The 20,797-nt window shown below is 36.9% G+C and overlaps 1 long non-coding RNA gene across 2 annotated transcripts in view; it reads right to left on the bottom strand.

Moving 5' to 3' along the window:
* Positions 1–19,493, bottom strand: part of LOC101928359 (uncharacterized) — a 56,076-nt gene extending 36,583 nt beyond the window's left edge. For both annotated transcript variants that reach the window (XR_001755950.2, XR_001755951.2), the window contains exon 1: positions 19,438–19,493. This is a non-coding gene — a long non-coding RNA (uncharacterized LOC101928359). The remainder of the gene's footprint in view (positions 1–19,437) is intronic.
* Positions 19,494–20,797: the final 1,304 nt, after the last annotated feature.

The raw sequence follows: 20,797 nt of genomic DNA, 5'->3' as shown, positions 1-20,797 counted from the left end.
ACCAACCCAGGTTCCAGACCAGTCCAGAGTTATATTAACTCACAGCCCCAGACTTCATGTCTACCCCAGCACCAGGTTGGCATCACTGACCTCAAGCATGAGGCTGACACTCATGCACACAGACTCCAGGCCTGCCCAGTGTCATGTGAGACCCTGCAGCACCACTCTTGAGGCTGGCCCCTATAGCTCCAACCTCCAGCAGACTCTGGAGCTAGGCCCATCTCAGTAGACTCCAGTGCTGGTTCAGCCCCTATGGACACAGGATGCAGGACTGCCCATGTAGACTCATGTTCCAGGTCTGTTCCCATAGCCCTAGGACCCAGGGTAGCCCTTGTGTACCTAGCCTTCAGACCAGCACCCACACAACAAGCTTCTAGGCTTATCCCAATGGCCCCAGGGCCCCAGGCCAGCCCCCATGGCTCTGGGCATCAGGCCAACCAGCAGCAGTAACTTCAAGCTCCATACCAGTACTGCAGACCCAGGCTTTACACCTGCCTCAGCACCAGGCCAGCCAGAGGCTTCAGGTTGATCCCCATGGCCCCAGGTGCCAGTGGGCCTGCTTCAGCAAACCAAAAGTCCAGGCCAACTTCAATAGACCCTGGAGCCAGTCTTGTCCCAAGCACTTAGGATCCAGGTATACCCAGGAAGACCCAGGTTTTAGGTTAGTCTTTTTCCCCACAGACCAAGGAACTAGGCTCACATTCATGGACTCAGTCTCCAGCATACCACAGTACCATGCCAGGCCAGGCCCCATGGACTCAGGCTCCAGGTCAATCTCAATGCCCGGCTGATCCTTGCAGACTCAGGTTTAAGGCCTACTCAAGTGCCAGGTCAGCCCATGCCTGACAGGTTTAAAGACAGCCCTCATGAATACAGGCTTCAGGCCCTCCCCTGCAAACCAGTACCACCACAGTGGATCCAGGCTCCAGACCCAATCCTGTGGAATACGCACCAGGCCCACCAAGCTGCTGCCCTAGGCACCAGGTCAACCTGCCTGAACTCCAGCAGCAAGCCCATCCATGGACCAGGCCAGATGGCAGCCCCAGAATTTCCAGACAGTCTGACTAATTAAGGGCTTTCCCATGCAAAGCCAGTCTGCAAAGATAGAATAGGGACTTCTTCAAATCCACAGACACCAGCACACAGCCACAAAGATTAGCACCAATCAGGGAAGCACTACACAACAAAAGAAACAAAGTAAAACAGCAATTTTTTAAAAATTTTCCCAAGATGGCTGCCTAGAAGCATTTCTAGCATGCCTCATCCTTTTAGAAAAATGAAAATGGTTGGTAGGCAATCACACTTTGAATATATTATCCAAGAGGGAACATAGGAATTCAACAGAAAAGCCAAAGGAATCTCCAAAATTGAGAAAGAAGGGGAAAAAAAAAAACAGGCAGCTTATATGACCATGATAGACCAGGAACTGAGAGTGAATCCCCACTATGAGAGAGGGTGAGTGAGTGTCTTTCTGCAGTCCACTTTTCCCCTGGGGAATTGTAAAATCCAGCCACCAGAATGCAACTTGACTCTTTCAACCCTGAATCTAACTTAGTGAGTGGCTGGCTCATGCCCTGAAACCTAAGCAGCTACAGTAAGACATTTTTCTTGATCCTAGCTGTTAACAAACTCTGTATGGTCCAGGGAACCAGTGGTGCTATTCCAGGCATTAGAAAAACTTGAGCACCAGCTTATGAAGCCTGGGCTTGAGTGGAGGATGGAATCTCACAACCAGGACTAAGAAGCAAACATGGCATGCACCCCAGCTGCTAGCATATCCCCATGAACTGAGCAGGATGAGAGGTGTCACAGAGCCTGGGCTTGAGCTGGGTGGGGGCTCCTATAGCACAGGGATGAGACATGGACTAGAAGCAAACTGTCTGGTCTGACTAAACAGCAAACTCAACTGTGACAGCTGGGACAGGTGAAGGAGCCCCACAAGGACCGGGGTGGAAGAGGGACACAGTCCTCCAACCGCTGGCCAAAACTGTTGCCACTGGGACTGCCCACATGCTGCCTGTAGCAGGACCTCAGTGCAGCAGTGGTAAAAACTCACCCAAGCATTTCACCTGAGGCCTGAATACCTCCCTGCTGCCTCCTCCATCACAGCTGGTGCATGCATTTGCTACTGGCGGACCTGAGTGCAAGCTTGTCCAGTTTGGATCCACCCAGCTTTGCTTCTCCCTAAAACAGAGTGTGGGGTTCCACAACACAATCTACCAACTGGGATATCTGAGCATGTCTCCTGGTAGACAGAGGTCAGGAATTTACATCCTATTGCTATCACCTTGGGTGGCTCATACCTGCAAGGGCCACCTACTGGCCTGGAGGTCTGCCCACTGCAACCACTGTCACCACTGACGACACAAGAGTACAGCACTTGGGAAGCAGAAAAGTATATAACCACCACTGCTACGACCATCAACTATGCCAGCCTGCCTTCCCAGGAGCATGAGAGCCTGCTCACCCACTTGGTATACTGCTTCTACAACCAGCATCTTAGAAAGTCACTCAGATGCCCAAGAATTGGCCTGCCTGGAACCATCAACAAAGGTCTCACCATACACTGCCCCAAGTCACAAGAATAGACTACAAAGCCCACCAGCACCACCTTTGGAACCTGCAGAAGGCCCCATCTTTCAGTCCAGTCCCCAGCACAATTTCACCAGTCTCCACCAATAGCCACACCCTAATAAACTGAGGCCAAAGAAATCCTACAGAGACTTTATCACTGCACACACCTAGAAACAAAGCCAAAAGTCCATACCCAACAAATATCATACTCACATCTTCAAAAGAGATGTTACCCTTATGAACAAAGGTAAATTCAAAAATAAAAGAAGCAACTATGACAACAGATGTGCAGATATCAAAAACACAGGAGGAATGAAAAACAAAATAATATGATACCCCAAAAGGAATACAGTAATTCTACAGCAGTAGACGCTAATGAAAAAGAAGCCCTCAAAATACAAGATAGTATTGTCTGTAACACAAAGGATAAATGCTTGAGGGGCTGGATACCCCACTTTTTATGATGTGATTATTATACATTGAGTGCCTGTATCAAAACATCTCATGTACTCCATAAATATATACACTGACTATGTACCCACAATAATTAAAATAATTTGTTTTAAATAATCCAAGATAAATAATTTAAAATATTGATTTTAAAGAAACTCAATGAGATGCAAGAAAAACTATAAAACAGTACAAAGAACTCAGAAAGTCAATTTAGAATATGAATAAGAAATTTATCAAGCAGATACATGTATTAAAAAACAAACATAAATTCTGGAACTGAAAATTTCATTGAAGGAAATACAAAATGCATTTGAGAGCTTCATCAATAGACTAGACCAAGCAGAATAAATAATTTCAGAAATTGAAAGTAGTCCTTTTGAAAAAATCCAGTCAGACAAAAATAAAGGAAAACAAATAATAATAAAGCCTTCAAGACATGTGGGACTACATAAAGCAACTGAATATATTAATTATTGATATTCCGGGGGGTGAGGTTAAAAAAGCTTAGAAATCTTAATAATAAAATAATAGATAAAAACTCCTCAATGCACCCAGATTTATAAAACATTACTAGAAATAAAGAGATAAATATATAGCAATACAACAACGGTGAGGAACTTCAACATCCCACTTAAAGCATTAGACAGATTATCAAGACAGAAAATCAACACAGAAGCATTCGTCTTAAATTAGAGAACACATGAACCTAGCAGACATTTACAGTGCATTCTACCCCTGTGATGGTTAATACTGAGTGCCAACTTGATTGGATTGAAGGATACAAAGTATTGTTCCTGGGTACATCTGTGAGGGTGTTGCCAAACGAGATTGACATTTGAGTCAGGGGACTGGGAACACAGACCCACCCTCAATGTGGGTGGGTACAGTCTAATCAGCTGTCAGCATGGCCAGAATAAAAGCAGGCAGAAGAACGTGGAAAAACTGACTTCCTAAGTCTTCTGGCCTCCATCTTTCTCCCATGCTGGATGCGTCTTGCCCTTGAACATCAGACTCCAAGTTCTCCAGCTTTTGGACTCTTGGACTTACACCAGTGATTTGACAGGGCCTTTTGGACCTTTGGCCATGACCTGAAGGCTGTACTTTCAGCTTCCCTATTTTTGAAGTTTTGGGACTCGGACTGGCTTCCTTTCTCCTCAGCTTGCAGATGGCCTATTGTGGGACTTCACCTTGTGAATGTGTGAGTCAATTCTCCTAATAAACTCCCCTTCGTGTATATATCTATCCCATTAGTTCTATTCCTCTAGAGAACCTTGACTAATATAACCTCAAATCTGAAGACTATACATTCTTTTTATTATCTCGAGGAACACTCTCCAAGATAAGACATATGTTAGGACATAAAACAAGCATCAACAAATTTTCAAAAATAATGATATCAAGTATCTTATCAGTCCAGATTGGAACAAAACAAAAAATTAATAACAAGAGAAACTTCATGGAAGCTAAGCATCACTATTCTGAATGATTATTAGGCAATGAAGAAATTAAAATAAATTTTGGACATATTTTTGAAAGAAATGAAAATGTAAACACAACATACCAAAACTTAAAAGATATAGCTAAATCAGAGCTAGCAGGAAAGTTTATAGCATTAAATGCCTACAACAAAAAAAGTAGAAAGGTTACAAATGATCAACCAGATTACAAATGAAAAACAGAATTATGCACATTAACAAACTAAAAAAGCACGAACAAACCAAACCCATAATCAGCAAAAGGAAAGAAATAACAAAGATCAAAATAGAACTAGGGTGAAATAGAGAAAAGGAAAGCAATACAAATGATGAAAGAAATGAGAAGTTTGCTCAAACGATAAACAAAATGGATAAACTACTAGCTAAACTAAGCAAGAAAGTAGAAGATCCAAATAAACAACATCAAAAAGAAAAATAAGAAAGTACAACTGATATCACAGAAATACAAAAAGATCATCAGAGACTAATGTGAACAACTATATGCTTAAAATTAGCAAGCCTACAGGAAGTAGATACACTATTGGAAATACACAGCCTCCCAAGATTGAATCAGTAGTAAAAATTCTCCCAACAAGAAAAATATCAGGACCAGATGGAATCATAGCCAAATTCTACCAAATGTTAAAAGAAGAACTGGTACCACTTTTTCCAAACTGTTCCAAAAAATTGAAGAGGAGTGATAATTCGTTCTATGAGGCCATCATTACCCTGAAACCCAAAGCAGACAAGGACAAAACAAAACAGAAAAAGGAAACTACAGACCAATACCCCTAATAAACATGGGCCCAAAAATCCTGAACAAAATACTAGCAAATTGAATCCAAGAGCAAATAAAAAAGATAGCATTTCTATCAAGTGCATTTTATACCAGGATGTAAGATGGCTCAACATACACAAAGCAATAAACGTGATTCATTATATAAACAGAATTAAGGACAAAAACCATATGGTCATCTCAACTAATGTAGAAAAAAATCAACATCTCTTTATCACAAAAGCCTTCAAAAAACTAGATATAGAAGGAACATACCTCAAAACAGTAAAGGCCATATATGAGAAAGCAACAGCCCACATCACACAGAAAGTACAAAAGTTAAAAACATTTTTTCTAAGAGCTGGAACATGACACAGGTGCCCACTTTCAACACTGTATTGAAAGTCCTAGACAGAAAAAATAAGGCAAGAGAAAGAATTAAAAGGAATTCAAATTTGAACAAAGTCAAGCTACTCCTATTGTCTGATGATATGATCTTGTATGTATAAAACCCTAAACACTCTAGCAAAAATCTCTTAAATTTGATAAATGAATTCAATAAACTTGCAGAATAAAAGTGAATGTACAAAAATAAGTAGTGCTTCTATATTTCAAAACAACCCAGTTGGAAAGAAAATCAACCAGGCACTCATATATATAATACCTACTAAAAATAAAATACATAGGAATATATTTAACCAAAGAAGTGAAAGATGTCAACAATGAAAAGTACAAAACACTGAAGAAAGAAATTGTAGATGACAAAAGCAAGTGGAAAAACATTCTATGCTCAGAGATTGGAAGAATTAAAATAGTTAAAATGATATTTATTTATAAAACTTAATCTTGTCATAAAATACAATAGTGCCCAAAGCAATCTACATATTCAATCCAATCCCTATCAAAATACCAATATCATTTTTCACAGAATTACAGCAAACAATCTTAAACTTTATATGGAACCAAATAGACACCTGAATAGCTGCAACAACCCTAAGCAAAAATAACAAAACTTGAGGCATCACATTATCTAATCTCAAATTATATTACAAGAACATAGTAACCCAGCACTATGGTACTGGTATAAAAATAGACACATAAATCAATGGAACAGAATAGAGAACCCAGAAATAAAGTCACGTATTTATAGCCAACTTATCTTTGACAAAAGCAATAAGAACATACACTGGGAAAAGGACACCCATTTTAAAAAACAGATCTGGGAAAATTGGGTTAAATAAAACTGGACCTCTACGTTCACCATATACAAAAATCAACACAAGATGGATTAGAGACTTAAGTGGAAGATCAATTAGTACAAAAATACTAGAAGGAAACTTATGGAAAACTCTTCTTTGCCATGGCAAAGAATTCATGACTATACCTCAAAAGCACAGATAATAAAAACAAAAATAGACAAACAGGACTTGATTAAACTAGATAGCTTCTGCACAGAAAAATAGATAATCAAACATTTTCTGCACAGCAAAATAATCAGCAGTGTGAGCAGATAACCTGCAGAAAGGGAGAAAATATTTGCAATCTGACAGAGGACTAATATTCAAAATACACAAGGAATTCGAACAATTCAACAACAGTAACAAACCAAATAATTCTATTAAAAATTTGATAAAGGACCTAAATAGATATTTTTTCAGAAGAAGACATGCAAATAGCCAAAAGACATGTAAGAAAATGCTCAACATTACTAATCATCAGAGAAACGCAAATTAAACCCACATTGAGATACCATCTTACATCAGTCAGAATGGCTATTAGAAATTCAAGGGCCGGGCACGGTGGCTCATGCCTGTAATCCCAGCACTTTGGGAGGCTGAGGCAGGCGGATCACCTGAGGTCAGGAGTTCGGGACTAGCCTGACCAACATGGAGCAACCTTGTCTCTACTAAAAATACAAAATTAGCCGGGCATGGTGGCGCATGCCTGTAATCCCAGCTACTCAGGAGGCTGAGGCAGGAGAATTGCTTGAAACAGGGAGGCGGAGGTTGCAGTGAGCCGAGATCACACCATTGCACTCCAGCCTGGGCAACAAGAGCAAAACCCCGTCTCAAAAAAAAAAAAAAAAAAAAAAAAATTTAAAAAACAACAGATGTTAGCAAGGATGCAGAGAAAAGGGAATGTGTATACACTGTCTCTGGAAATGTAGATTAGTTCAACCCCTACAGCAAACAGTATAGAGATTTCTCAAATAACTAAAAATAGAACCATCATTTGATCCAGCAATTTCACTACTGAGTATCTACCCAAAGAAAAGAAATCTATGCACCAAACAGACACCTGAACTGGTATGCTTATCACAGCACTATTTATAATAGCGAAGATATGGAAAAAACCTAAGTGACCACAAACAGATTATTGGATAAAGAAATGTGGTCTAGATACACAATGGAATACTATTCAGTCATAGTAAAATGAAATCATGTCTTCTGCAGCAACATCAACAGAAATGGAGACCATTGTCTTAAGTGAAATAAGTCAGACACAGAAAAAAAAATTACTTGTTCCTATTCATAAGTGAGATTTTAAAAATGTGTACACATAAACATAGAGAGCATAATGATAAACATATGAGTGTCAGAAGGATGAGGGGGTAAGGGGGATGTATGAAGAGAAATTACTTAATGGGCACAATGTATGTTATTCAGGTAATAAATACTCTACAAGCCCTGACCTGACTACCACACAATCGATTAATGTGAGAAAATTGTATTTGTTCCCCAGAAATTTATACAAATAAAAAAATACACCAGTAACTGATATCATTTGGCTCTGTGCCCCCACCAAAATCTCACCTTAAATTGTAATAATCCCCACATGTCAAGGGTGGGACCAGGTGGAGGTAATTGAAACATGGGGGCAGTTTCCCCCATGCTTTTCTTGTGATAATGAGTGAATATTACGAGATCTGACAGTTTTATAAGCATCTGACATTTCTCCTGCTTGCACTCACTCTCTCTTCTGCTGCCTTGTGAAGAAGGTGACTGCTTCCTCTTCTGCCATGATTGTAAGTTTCCTGAGGCCTCCCTAGCCATGTGGAGCTGTGAGTCAATTAAACCTCTTTCCTTTATAAATTACCCAGTCTTGGGTAGTATCTTTATAGCAGTGTGAAAAGGGACTAATAGGGTAACCAAACCCTCCAAAATGGAGACTTTTGAATTACCTAATAATTCAGAATAATTATTTTAATTCTTGAATTTTAAACAAATACAGAAAAAACAATTCAATAACGCCTGCCAGACAATAAATGACCAAACTGATAAATTTAATAGATTGGAATTTAAAACAACGAAACAGATATTCTGGAGTAAGTAGTACAATAAATTAAAAAAATGCAATAGACATCATCAGTAGCAGAATTGCTCAGTTAGAAGAAAGAATGTGTGAACTAAAAATGGTTATTCAAAAATACACGACCACAGAAGAAATAAATAATAAAAGGAAATGAAGAAACCATCAGGAACATTTGGGGCAGCAGCAAAATAACAAATATTTGAATTATACAAATTCAAGAAGTAGAGTGAAACAAAGGGCCAGACAGATTCTTTAAGACATAATAGAAAAAAACAAATTTGGTGAAAGATATAAATATCCAGGTATAAAAAGGTCAAAAGTCATCATTAGAGTCAATCTAAACTAGTGTATCAGTAGATATTATAATTAAACTGTTAAATATATAATGCAAACAGAGAATCTTGAAAGCAGCAAGAAAAAAGCAAACCATATATGAGGGAGTTTCAACAAGACTAGCATCAGACTTCTCAACTGGAACTTATAGGCTAGGAGACTGTACGAAGATATATTCAAACTGCTGAAGAAAAAAATTACAACCAAGAATACTTTAACTGAAAAACCCGTCCTTCAGAAATGAAGGAAAAATCAAGTCTTTCCCAGACAAAAAAAGGCTGAGGAAATTCATTGCCAGCTGACCTGTCTTATAAGAAGTACCAAAGGGAGTTCTGAAAGCTGAAATAAAAGAGCGCTAATTAGCAACATGAAACCACATTAAAGTAAGAAACTCGCTGGCAAAAGTTAATTTGAGAATACTTTAATACCATGATGGTGTTGTGTAAATCATTTGTATCTTTAGTTTGAAGGTTGAAAGACAAAACTATTATAAGAATAACATGTGCAATAATTTTAAGGAAAACACAATACGGGAAGGTGTAAATTATTTTAAAAAATATAAAATGTGGGTAAGATGAAGCCAAAGTATTTTCTTTTATGTTATCAGAGCTGAGAGCTTATCAGCTTAAAATAGCCCATTATAAGTATAAGATGCTGAATGTAAGCATCGTGGTAACCACAAAGCAAAAATATACGTAGATACAGAAAATATTAAAAGTAGGAAATGAAAGCATACCATTAGAGAAAACCATCTAATCAAAAAGGAAGACATCAAGAGAGGAATGAAAGGAATAGATATCTACAAAACAATTTAAAAAGGGCACTAATCTGTCCTTGCCTATCAGTAATTACCTTAATATAAGTGGATTAATATTTCCAATTAAAAGTTACAGAGTGTCTCAATGGCCAAAAAAAAAAAAAGAGCAGATTATATACTGCCTACAATAAACTGACTTCACTTTTTGAGGACAGAAATAGACTGAAAGTGAAAAGATGAAAAGAGATATGCCCAGCAAATGAGAACTAAAAGAGACAGAAATACTATACTTATATAAGACAAAATGGACTCTAAGTCAAAAAATTTAAAAGAAATAGTTATATTTTCTTGATGAATTCACCCCTGTATTACCATATAATTACCGTGTTTTAAACTTTTTAAAAACTTTTTTAAAACAAGGTCATTACATGGTAATTTAGGGGTGAATTCATCAAGAGACTGTAACAATTGTAAATAAATGTGCATCCAATATTGGAGTGCCTAAATATATAAAGCAAATATTAATAGATCTGAAGGGATTGATAGACTGTCATACAATAATAGTAGGTGACTTCAATATCCCACTTTCAGCAATGGACAGATCATCCAGAGAGAAAGCCAATAAGGAGATATCTGATTTAAACTAAATTTTAGACCAAATGGACCTAACAGACATATATAGAGGATTCCATCCAACAACAACCGAAGAATCATTTTTCTCAAGCACACACAGAAGATTCTCCAGGATAGATCATGTTAGACCACAAAGCAAGTCTTAACAAATTGAAGAAGTTTGAAATTGTATCAAGTATATTTTCTAACCACAGTGGTGTGGAAATAGAAATCAATGAAAAAGTATTTTAGAAAATTAACAAATACATGGAAATGAAACAGCATAATCCTGAACAACCAATGGATCAAAGAAGAATCAAAGAGAAATTCAAAAATATTTTATACAAATCAAAATGAAAACTTAACCTACCCAAACATATGGGATGTAGCAAAAGTAGTCGTAAAATAAAAGTTTATAAAAATAAATGCCTACATCACAAAAGAAGAAACTTCTCAAATAATGTAATGTTTTAACTCAAGAAACTAGAAAATCAAAAACAAACTAAGCCCAATGTTAGTAGAAGAAAGAAAATAAAAAGGCATCGTGCTACCTAACTTCAAACTATGCTACAGGGCTACAGTAACCAACAGTAACCTAAACAGTATGGTGTGGGCCTAAGTACGGACACATAGACCAATGGAACAGAATAGAGAACCAGGAAATAAGTTTGCACACCTACAACTGTCTGATCTTTGACAAACCTGAAAGAAACAAGCAATGGAGAAAGGACTCGCTATTCAATAAATGGAGCTGGGATAACTGGCTCGCCATGTGCAGAAAATTGAAATTGGACCCCTCCCTTACACCATGTACAAAAATTAACTCAAGATGGATTAAATGTAAAATACAAAACCATAAAAACCATGGAAGACAACCTAGGCAATACTATTCAGGACATAGGCATGTGTGAGGATTTCATGATGAAGATGCCAAAAGCAATTACAACAAAAGCAAAAGCTGACGAAAGGAATTTAATTAAACTAAAAACCTCATGCACAGCAAAAGAAACTATCAACAGAGTAAACAGCCTACAGAATGGGAGAAAATTTTAGCAAACTATGCATCTGACAAAGGTCTAATATCAAGCAACTATAGGGAACTTAAACAAATTTACAAGAAAAAAAAAGCCATTAAAAAGTGGGCAAGGACATGAACAGACACATCTCAAAAGAAGACATACATGTGGCCAACAAGCATATGAAGAAAATCTCAACATCACCGATTATTAGGGAAATGCATATCAAAACCACAATGAGATACCGTCTCACACCAGTCAGAATGGTGATTATTAAAAAGTCAAAAAATAACCGATGCTAGTGAGGTTGTGCAGAAAAAGAATGCTTATACACTGTTGTGGGAATGTAAATTAGTTCAACCATCGTGGAAGGCAGTGTGACAGTCTGTCAAAGACCTGAACCTGAAATACCATTTGACCTAGCAATTCCATTACTGAGTATGTTACCAAAACACCAGGGGTTCAGTCTCATTTCTGCAATCACTGAAAAGCCAAGTATTGCCTAGGAAGAAGGCTTTAATCAGGTGCTGCAGCTGAGGAGATGGGAGCTCAGTCTCAAATCCAACCAGGGGTTTACATAGCAGGTAAGAAATGTAACAATGTGTAAGCAAAACAGAAACTTGGGAGGGGCAAGGAAGCAATCATGGTGGATGAAGGGTCTGGCATCTGGTGCAGTAATCTGGTTTGATTCTTTGATACTTTTCATGAGAGGCCTGTATCAAAAAGAACAGCCTATAGGGCAGTTGGGTCGGTTCCAGGTATACACATAAAGGAATATAAATCATTCTATCGTAAAGACACATGCACATGTATGTTCATTGCAGCACTATTCACAATAGCAAAAACGTGGAATCAACCTAAATGCCCATCAATGAAAGACTGGATAAAGAAAAGGTGGTACATATACACCATGGAATACTATAAAGCCATAAAAAAGAATGAGATCATGTCATCTTCAGGAACATGGATGAAGCTGGAAGCCATTATCTTTAGCTAACTAACCCAGGAACAGAAAACCAAACACCACATGGTCTCACTTATAAGTGGAAGCTAAATAATGAGAACACATGGACACATAGAATAGAACAACAGACACTGGGGCCTATCGAATGGTGGAAGGTGAAAGGAAGGTGAAGATTACAAAAAGTAACTAATGGATACTAGGCTTAATACCTGGGTGATGAAATAATCTGTACAGCAAACCCCCATGACACATGTTTACCTATGTTACAAACCAGCACATCCTGCACGTATACCCCGAACTTAAAATAAAAGTTTAAAAAAAATCAGAACAGAAATAAGTGAAATAGAGAATAGAAAAACAATAGAAAAAGCAGTGAAACGAAGTGTTCATTTAGTAAAAGGAAAAACAAAAATCCACAAATGTTCAGACTAAGGAGAAAAAAAGAGAAGACTCAAATAAAATCAGAAGTGAAAGAAGAGACATTATAACTAATACCATAGAAATACAAAGGCTCATAAGATGCTACAACCATCAATTACATGCCAACAAATTAGATAACCTAAAATAAGTGAAGAAATTACTAAACACATACAACCTACCAAGACTGAATTATGAGATAAAAAAAATTTGAGGAGACTAGTAATAAGGACATTAAATCAGTAATAAAACTTCTCTCATCAAAAAAAGAATGCCTTGGACCTGATGACTTTACTACTGAATGTTACCAAACATTTAAAGAAGAACTAATATCAATTCCTGTCAAAATTCTTCACAAAATTGAAGAGGAAATCTTCCCAAACTCATTTTACAAGGCCAGCATTTCCATGATACCATAGCCAGGTAAGGATACTACTATAAGAAAAGAAAATTACAAACCAATATCTGTGATGAACATAGATGTAAAAACCCTTAACAAAATACTAGAAAATCAAATTCAATAGTACATTATAGGGATCATTCACCTTGATCAAGTGATATTTATCCCTAGGATACAAGTTTGATTCAACATATGCAAATCTACAAAAATTCATAAATATGACACACCAAAATAGCACAATCGAGGACAAAAACCATGTGACCATCTCAATAAATGGAGAAAAAACATTTGACAAACTTCTGCTTGCTTTCATGATTAAAACAATTTCTCAACAAATTAGGTATAGAAGAAATGTACCTCAACGTAATAAAGTCCACGTATGACAAATGCAGAGCTAACATTATACTCAACAGTGAAAGATTGAAAGCCTTTCTCTAAGATGAGAATCAAGACAAGGATGCCCACTCTCACCACTTCTATTCATATTAGGTCTAGAAGTCCTAGCCAGGGCAATTAGGCAAGATAAAGACAAAAAAGTATCCACATTGAAAAAGAAAAAGTTAAGTTGTTCCTGTGTGCAGATATGCTGACACGCATAGAAAACTCAAAAGATTCCACCAAAATATTATAAGTATTGAACAAATTCAGTAAAGTGGAAAGATATAATATCAACATACAAAAATTATATATATGAGTATATGCATATACTCCACATCCCTGTCAATATTCAATAGTTATCTTTCATCTTTGGTAGTAGTCATTCTGACAGGTGTGAGTTAGTATCTTCTTATGGTTTTAATTTGCATTTTCCTAATGATTAGTAATGTTAAACATTTTTTTTATCTATCCGATGGCCATTTGCATTTTTTAAGAAATGTATATTTAAGTCTCTTGCTCACTTTTGAATTAGATTATTTGTCTTCTTGGATATTGATTTGTTTGAGTTAGTTAAATATTTTGTGTATTATCCCCTTATCAGATGAATGGCTTGCAAATATTTTATCCCACTCTGTCAGTTGTCATTTTACTCCATTGATAGTTTCCTTTTTCATGCAGGAGCTTTTTATTTTAATGTAATCCCATTTTTCTATTTTTGTTTCTGTTGCCTGTGCTTTTGGAGTCAAATGTAAAAAGTTGTTGCCCACAGCAATATAGTGTAGTTTTTCTCCTATGTATAGCATTTATAATAATTACTAAGAAAGTGTATTTTAAGTGTTCTCACCACAAAAAAATAATGAATATGTCAGGTAATACATATGTTAATTAGCCATTCAGATGTATGCATATTTCAAAACATGTTACATGCAATACAAAGAAACAATTTTTACTTGCCAATCAAACAGAATAAATAAATATTTTTATAAAGGGACAGAAAAGGAAAATAAGAAAATTCAGTTAAAAGACATGTAGGCTAGCGTGAGAGATCTCAACATGTGTCAAAACTTGTTCAGAATAAATAAAATGGAGAGGTTACAATGGTGGATAGGAGGCAGAAGTAGCTTGCAGCTCCCACTGGCATGGACAGAGCAGCATGTGGAGACTCACATCATGAACTTTTGCTCCAAGAACTACTGCAGGAACATACCAGAAAAGCGAAGAGAATCCACAGACCCTTTGAAGGAACTGGGTCACCCCTGCAGGCTCGCTGAGACACGGAAAAACTGAGTCTGCTTTTTTTCTCATTGAAGAGGCTCATGTTCTGGGGCAAGCTCTCAGCCCTGGCCACTGGCTGACTGGAAATAGACTCGGTGCTGTTGGTGTGGCATGGTGGGAGTGAGACTGGCCTTTGGGACTATGGGCTGTCTGGGAGTGGGGTGAGGGCTGTAACCGCCACATTTCCCCCACTTCCCTGGCAACCTGTATGACTCAGCAGAGGCAGCCATAATCTCCCTGGGAATACAACTCCATGGGACTGGGAACCACACCCCCATACCCCACAGCAGGTGCAGCAAACCTCACCCAAGGAGAGGCTGAGCTCAGACATACCTATCCTTGCCCCCCACCTGGTGGTGGTCTTTCTCTATCTGCTCTGGTAGCCAAAGACAAAGGCCATAATCTCTTGGGAGCTCTATGGCCTTGCCCAGCACCTGAGAAACCTGAATACTTAACCAGGTGTCCCTAGGGCAAGTTTGCATCCTCCCTATGGGACCGCAGCTGATGCACCCACCTTCTGGCTGGAGGTCAACCAACACAAAACCAGTGCACTAAACAAAAACACAACACAGGACGCTCACAGAGTCCACTTCACTCCCCTGTCACTTCCACTGGAACAGGTGCTGGTATCCACGGCTGCAAGACCCGAAGATGAATCACATCACAGGACTCTTTGCAGACACTTCCCAGTACCAGATTAGAGCATGTTATCTCTACTGGGTGGCTAGACCCAGAAGAGCAAAATCAGTCACTACAGTTTGGCTCTCAGGATGCCCCATTCCTAGGGGAAGGGGGAAAACACCACATCAAGGGAGTAACCCCATGGGACAAAATAATCCGAACAGTAGTCCTTGAATCCCAGACCTTCCCTCTGACATAGTCTTACCCAAGTGAGAAGAAACCAGAAAAACAATTCTGGTAATATGACAAAACAAGGTTCTTTAACACCCCCCAAAAATCATACCAGCTCACCAGCAATTGATCCAAACCAAGGTGAAATCTCTGGATTGCCAGAAAAAGAATTCAAAAGGTCAATTATTAAGCTACTCAAGGAGGCACCAGAGAAAGGTGAAATCCAACTTAAAAAAATTTTTAAAAAAATGATACAGTATATGAAAAGAAAATTCTTCAGTGAAATAGAGAGCATAAGTAAAAAACAGTCACAACTTCTGGAAATCAACAACACACTTAAGAGAAATGTCAAATGCACTGGAAATTCTCAGCAATAGAATCAAACAAGCAGAAGACAGAATTTCTGAGCTCGAAGACAAGGCTTTCAAATTAACCCAATCCAACAAAAACAACAAAGAATTTTTTTTTTTTAAAAAAAGATCAAAGCCTCCAGGAAGTTTGGGACTATGTTAAATGTCCAAACCTAAGAATGATTGGTGTTCTTGAGGAAGAAGAGAAATCTAAATGTTTGGAAAACATATTTGAAGGAATAATCTAGGAAAACTTCCCTGGCCTTGCTAGAGATCTAGACATCCAAATACAAGAAGCTCAAAGAACACCCCGGAAATTCATCACAATCATCACCTAGACCATAGTTATCAGGTTATCTAAAGTCAAGATGAAGGAAAGAATTTTAGGAGCTGTGAGGCAAAAGCATCAGGTAACCTATGAAGAAAAACCTACCAGATTAATAGCAGATTTCTCAGCAGAAATCCTACAAGCTAGAAGGGATTGGGGTCCTATTTTTAGCCTCCTTAAACAAACAGTTATCAGCCAAGAATTTTGTATCCAGGGAAATTAAGCTTCATAAATGAAGGAAAGATACAGTCTTATTGAGACAATAAATACTGAGAGAATTCACCACTAACAAGCCAGCACTAGAAGAACTGCTAAAAGGAGCTATAAATCTTGAAACAAATTCTCAAAATATACCAAAATAGAAACTTCTTAAAGTACAAATCTCACCAGACCTATATAACAATAACACAATGAAAAAAAATGCAAGCTTTTCAGGCAACAAATGGTATGATGAATAGAATAGTACCTCACATCTCAATACTAACATTGAATGTAAGTGACCTAAATGCTCCACTTAAAAGATACAGGATGGCAGAATGAATAAGAATTCATCAACCAAGTTTCTGCTGCCTTCAGGAGACTCATATAACATATAAGGACTCACATAAACTTAAGGTAAAGGGGTGGAAAAAGATAATCTATGCAAATGGACACCAAAATAGAGCAGAGGTAATTATTCTTATATCAGACAAAACAAATGTTAACGCAACAACAGTTAAAAAAGACAAAGAGGGACATTATATAATGATAAAAGCACTAGTCCAACAAGAAAATATCACAATTCTAAATATAGATGCACCTAACACTAGAGCTCCTAAATTTATAAAAAAAATTTACTACTAGGCCTAAGAAATGAGACAGATGGCAACACAATAATATTGGGGGACTTCAATACTCCATTGACAGCACTAGTCAAGTCATCAAGATAGAAAGTCAACAAAGAAACAATGGACTTAAACTATACCCTACAACAAATGGACTTAACTGATATTTACAGAATATTCTACCCAACAACTGCAGAATATACATTCTTTTTATCAGCACCTGGAAGATTCTCCAAGACAGACTATATGATAGGCCACAAAACAAGTCTCAGTAAATTTAAGAAAATCGAAATTAGATCCAGTACTCTCTCAGACCACAGTGGAATAAAATTGGAAATCATCTCTAAATGCAACACTCAAGGCGATGCAAATACATGGAAATTAAATAACCTGCTCCTGAGTGATCATTGGGTCAACAATGCAATCAATATGGAAATTAAAAAATTCTTAATAATAGTGACACAACCTGTTAAAACCTCTGGGATACAGCAGAAACAGTGCTAAGAGGAAAGTTCATAGCATTAAATGCCTACATCAAAAAGTCTGAAAGAGCACAAATAGACAATCTAATGCCACACCTCACAGAACTGGAGAAACAAGAACAATCCAAACTCAAACCCAGAAGAAGAAAATAAATAATGAAGATCAGTGCAGAGCTAAATAAAATAGAAACAAACAAACAAAAAGCAATGCAAAAGATAAATAAAATGAAAAGATGGTTCTTTGAAAAGATAAATAAAATTGATATACCATTAGTGAGATTAACTAAGAAAAAAAGAAGATCCAAATAAGCTCAATTAAAAATGAAACAGGAAATATTATAACTGATACCACAGAAATACAAAAGATTATTCAACACTACTATGAAAAGCTTTACATGTATAAACTAGAAAACCGAGAGGAGATGGATAAATTCCTGGAAATATACAATCCTCCTAGATTAAACCAGGAAGATATAGAATCTCTGAACTGACCAATACCAAGCAGTGAGATTGAAACAGTAATTTTAAAAATGCCAACCAGAAAAGTCCAGTACCAGATGAATTCACAGTTGAATTCTATCAGATTTTCAAGGAAGAATTTGTACCAATTCTATTGACACTATTCCAAAAGACAGAGAAAGAGAGACTTCTCCCTGAATCATTCTATGAAGCCAGTCTCACCCTAATACCAAAACCAGGAAAGGACATAACAGCAACAACAAAAACAGAATACAAACCAATATCTCTGATGAATATAGATGCAAAAATCCTCAACAAAATACTAATTAACTGAATCCAACAGCATATCAAAAAGATAATCCACCATGATTAAGTGGGCTTCATACCAGGGATGCGATGACAGTTTAACATACATAATTCAATAAATGTGACACACCACGCAAACAGAATTAAAAAACAAAAATAACATGATCATCTCCATAGATGCAGAAAAATCATTTGACAAAATCCAGCATCCCATTATAATTAAAACCCTCAGCAAAATCGGCATAAAAAGCACATCCTTAAGGTAATAAAAGCCATCTGCAACAAACTCACAGCCAGCATTGTACTAAACAGGGAAAAGCTGAAAACATTCCCCCTGAGAACTGGAACAAGACAAAGATGCCCACTTTTACCACTTCTATTTAACATAGTACTGGGAGTCCTAGCCAGAGCAATCAAACAATGGAACGAAATAAAGGGCATCCAAATGGGTGAAGAGGAACTCAAACTGTAGAATTGACCCAATTATCTTGCCTTATTCTGTTGAACATTCCTAATTGTTAACCTCACAAACAGTTGAGACAATTGAATAACTAAGGAATTAAGCCAAGCAAAGTTTTAAGATGATGGGCCTATTTTTGCACAACTAAAGAAGGCAAATAAGATAACTTAAAAATCAACTGAGTATATTTTTTGTATGTTAAAAAGTATCTCTTTTTTATTAAAATATTTATCACTAAATATTCACTAAAATATATATCAAATTTAAAATAAATTCCAAAAAAAGTAAGAACTTATGGAGAATAAATACAAATTTAGGCATATTTAAAGGTCTATTCAAAACATGTAAATTTCATGACAAATGATTTTTTGTTGCTATTATTTTTGTTTAATTATGTTTACATTTGCTCAAAGTAAATGATAAAATGCTTGGGTAAGATGTAAATGAAAGAGTTTCCACAAAATGATGTTATTTAGGTACTATTAGGGTGCTTTGCACTCTCAGTAAATACTTTAATAAATGTCTTCAATTCTTCTGTTATATGCCAAGCAAAATGCTGTACAATAAAATCCCTATTCTATGTATTTACTCCTAAAGGTTACAGGCCCAGGGTGGTAAAGCAACAATCCAATTACCTCAGGCATCATGCTGTTGCGTGTCCTTTATGCTTTTCTTTCTCAGTCTGGCTTCTGGGAGCTGTTAGGTTCCTATGTCTATTATCTGTAGTTTCCCCTTCCAATGAAACTGAAGGTCATTACAGGGAACAGTCACCAGGTCCTGGCCAGAGTTAATGCCAAGATCCAACAGAGTCAAGTCATGGAGCAGGAACCAGGCCAGGGTGCAAGATAAGGTAATAAGCAGATTCCAACCGAATCCCTTTTGGATTTCCTGGCACTTTGGAATTTGCAAGGATATATCCACACCTCTCATGAGTAAAGTGAAGTCCAGAAAACACCATCAGCTACACAAGCATCTTTCTGATTATTAGGACACTGCTTCAGCAACAGGCCAGGAGCTGATTTCTGGGGCAATGCCAGCGACATCCATGATACTCCAAGAGTACGAACAGTCGCCAAAGGAAAGAATGCCTGATAACTTTGCTGGTATTATTATTGATGCAAGTATGTCACTATACAGTGTGTTAGTTTCACAGATGCAGGAAACTCAGCATCTGAGTGTTTGCCCATTGTGACACATAGCCCTCTCCATGTGCCTGATTTTAATCTTATCAAAAATTCCTCTTACAAGAGATAGTAAAGAAACAAAAGGTAAAAGTCAATGTCAAAGAAAGAACAAGCTTTTACTAGTGATCACTGCCATATTTGAAACAAATTTATACTGAAAAATTGGGGAAAAAATAATAAAATAGAAAATATGGCAGAATAGTGGTATTTGAAAATAGTAAATAGTTTCCCAGAATCATAGAAAAATCAACAATTTAAATGTCCTTCAATTACTAAGCATTATATTAACAATTAAAGATGAATCCATATCTAGAAGTATTGCAGTAAAACAAGTGACGTCTTAAAAGCTAACAAAAAAATTAATAAATTACTTACAAACACTGTAATCACTTAGCTAAACTAGTATGCAAGTATGAAGTCAAAATAAGAGATTTTAAAGATATCCCCAAAGCTAGAAGAATTTACCACTCATAGATTCTGAAAAAAAAATATATTAAAGGACATATTCTAACAAAAATAATAGGAAATTTAGAAAATAGAGTGGAGATCCAAGAAATAGCAGTGAGTAGAAAAATTGGTAAAATATGTTGACAATTGTAATTATTACACTAAACAAGTATCATTTGACATATTTAAAAGGATAATTTAAAAGTTCATGTCATAGTAGGAAGATGGATTGTGGGTTATTAAATGAGTAGTCAAAATGTGCTATGGCCTGCTTCATGTTTGAAGCAGAATAGTAAAGTCATTGATAAGCATATAGGCTAAAATTAATAGGAATATATGTTTAAACTTAACAACTGAAATAATA

This window comes from Homo sapiens, chromosome X (genome assembly GCF_000001405.40).
Source record: "Homo sapiens chromosome X, GRCh38.p14 Primary Assembly".
Taxonomy (NCBI): Eukaryota; Metazoa; Chordata; class Mammalia; order Primates; family Hominidae; genus Homo; species Homo sapiens.
Note: the sequence above shows the minus strand (reverse complement) of the source record. Positions and strands in the feature narration are given on the sequence as shown.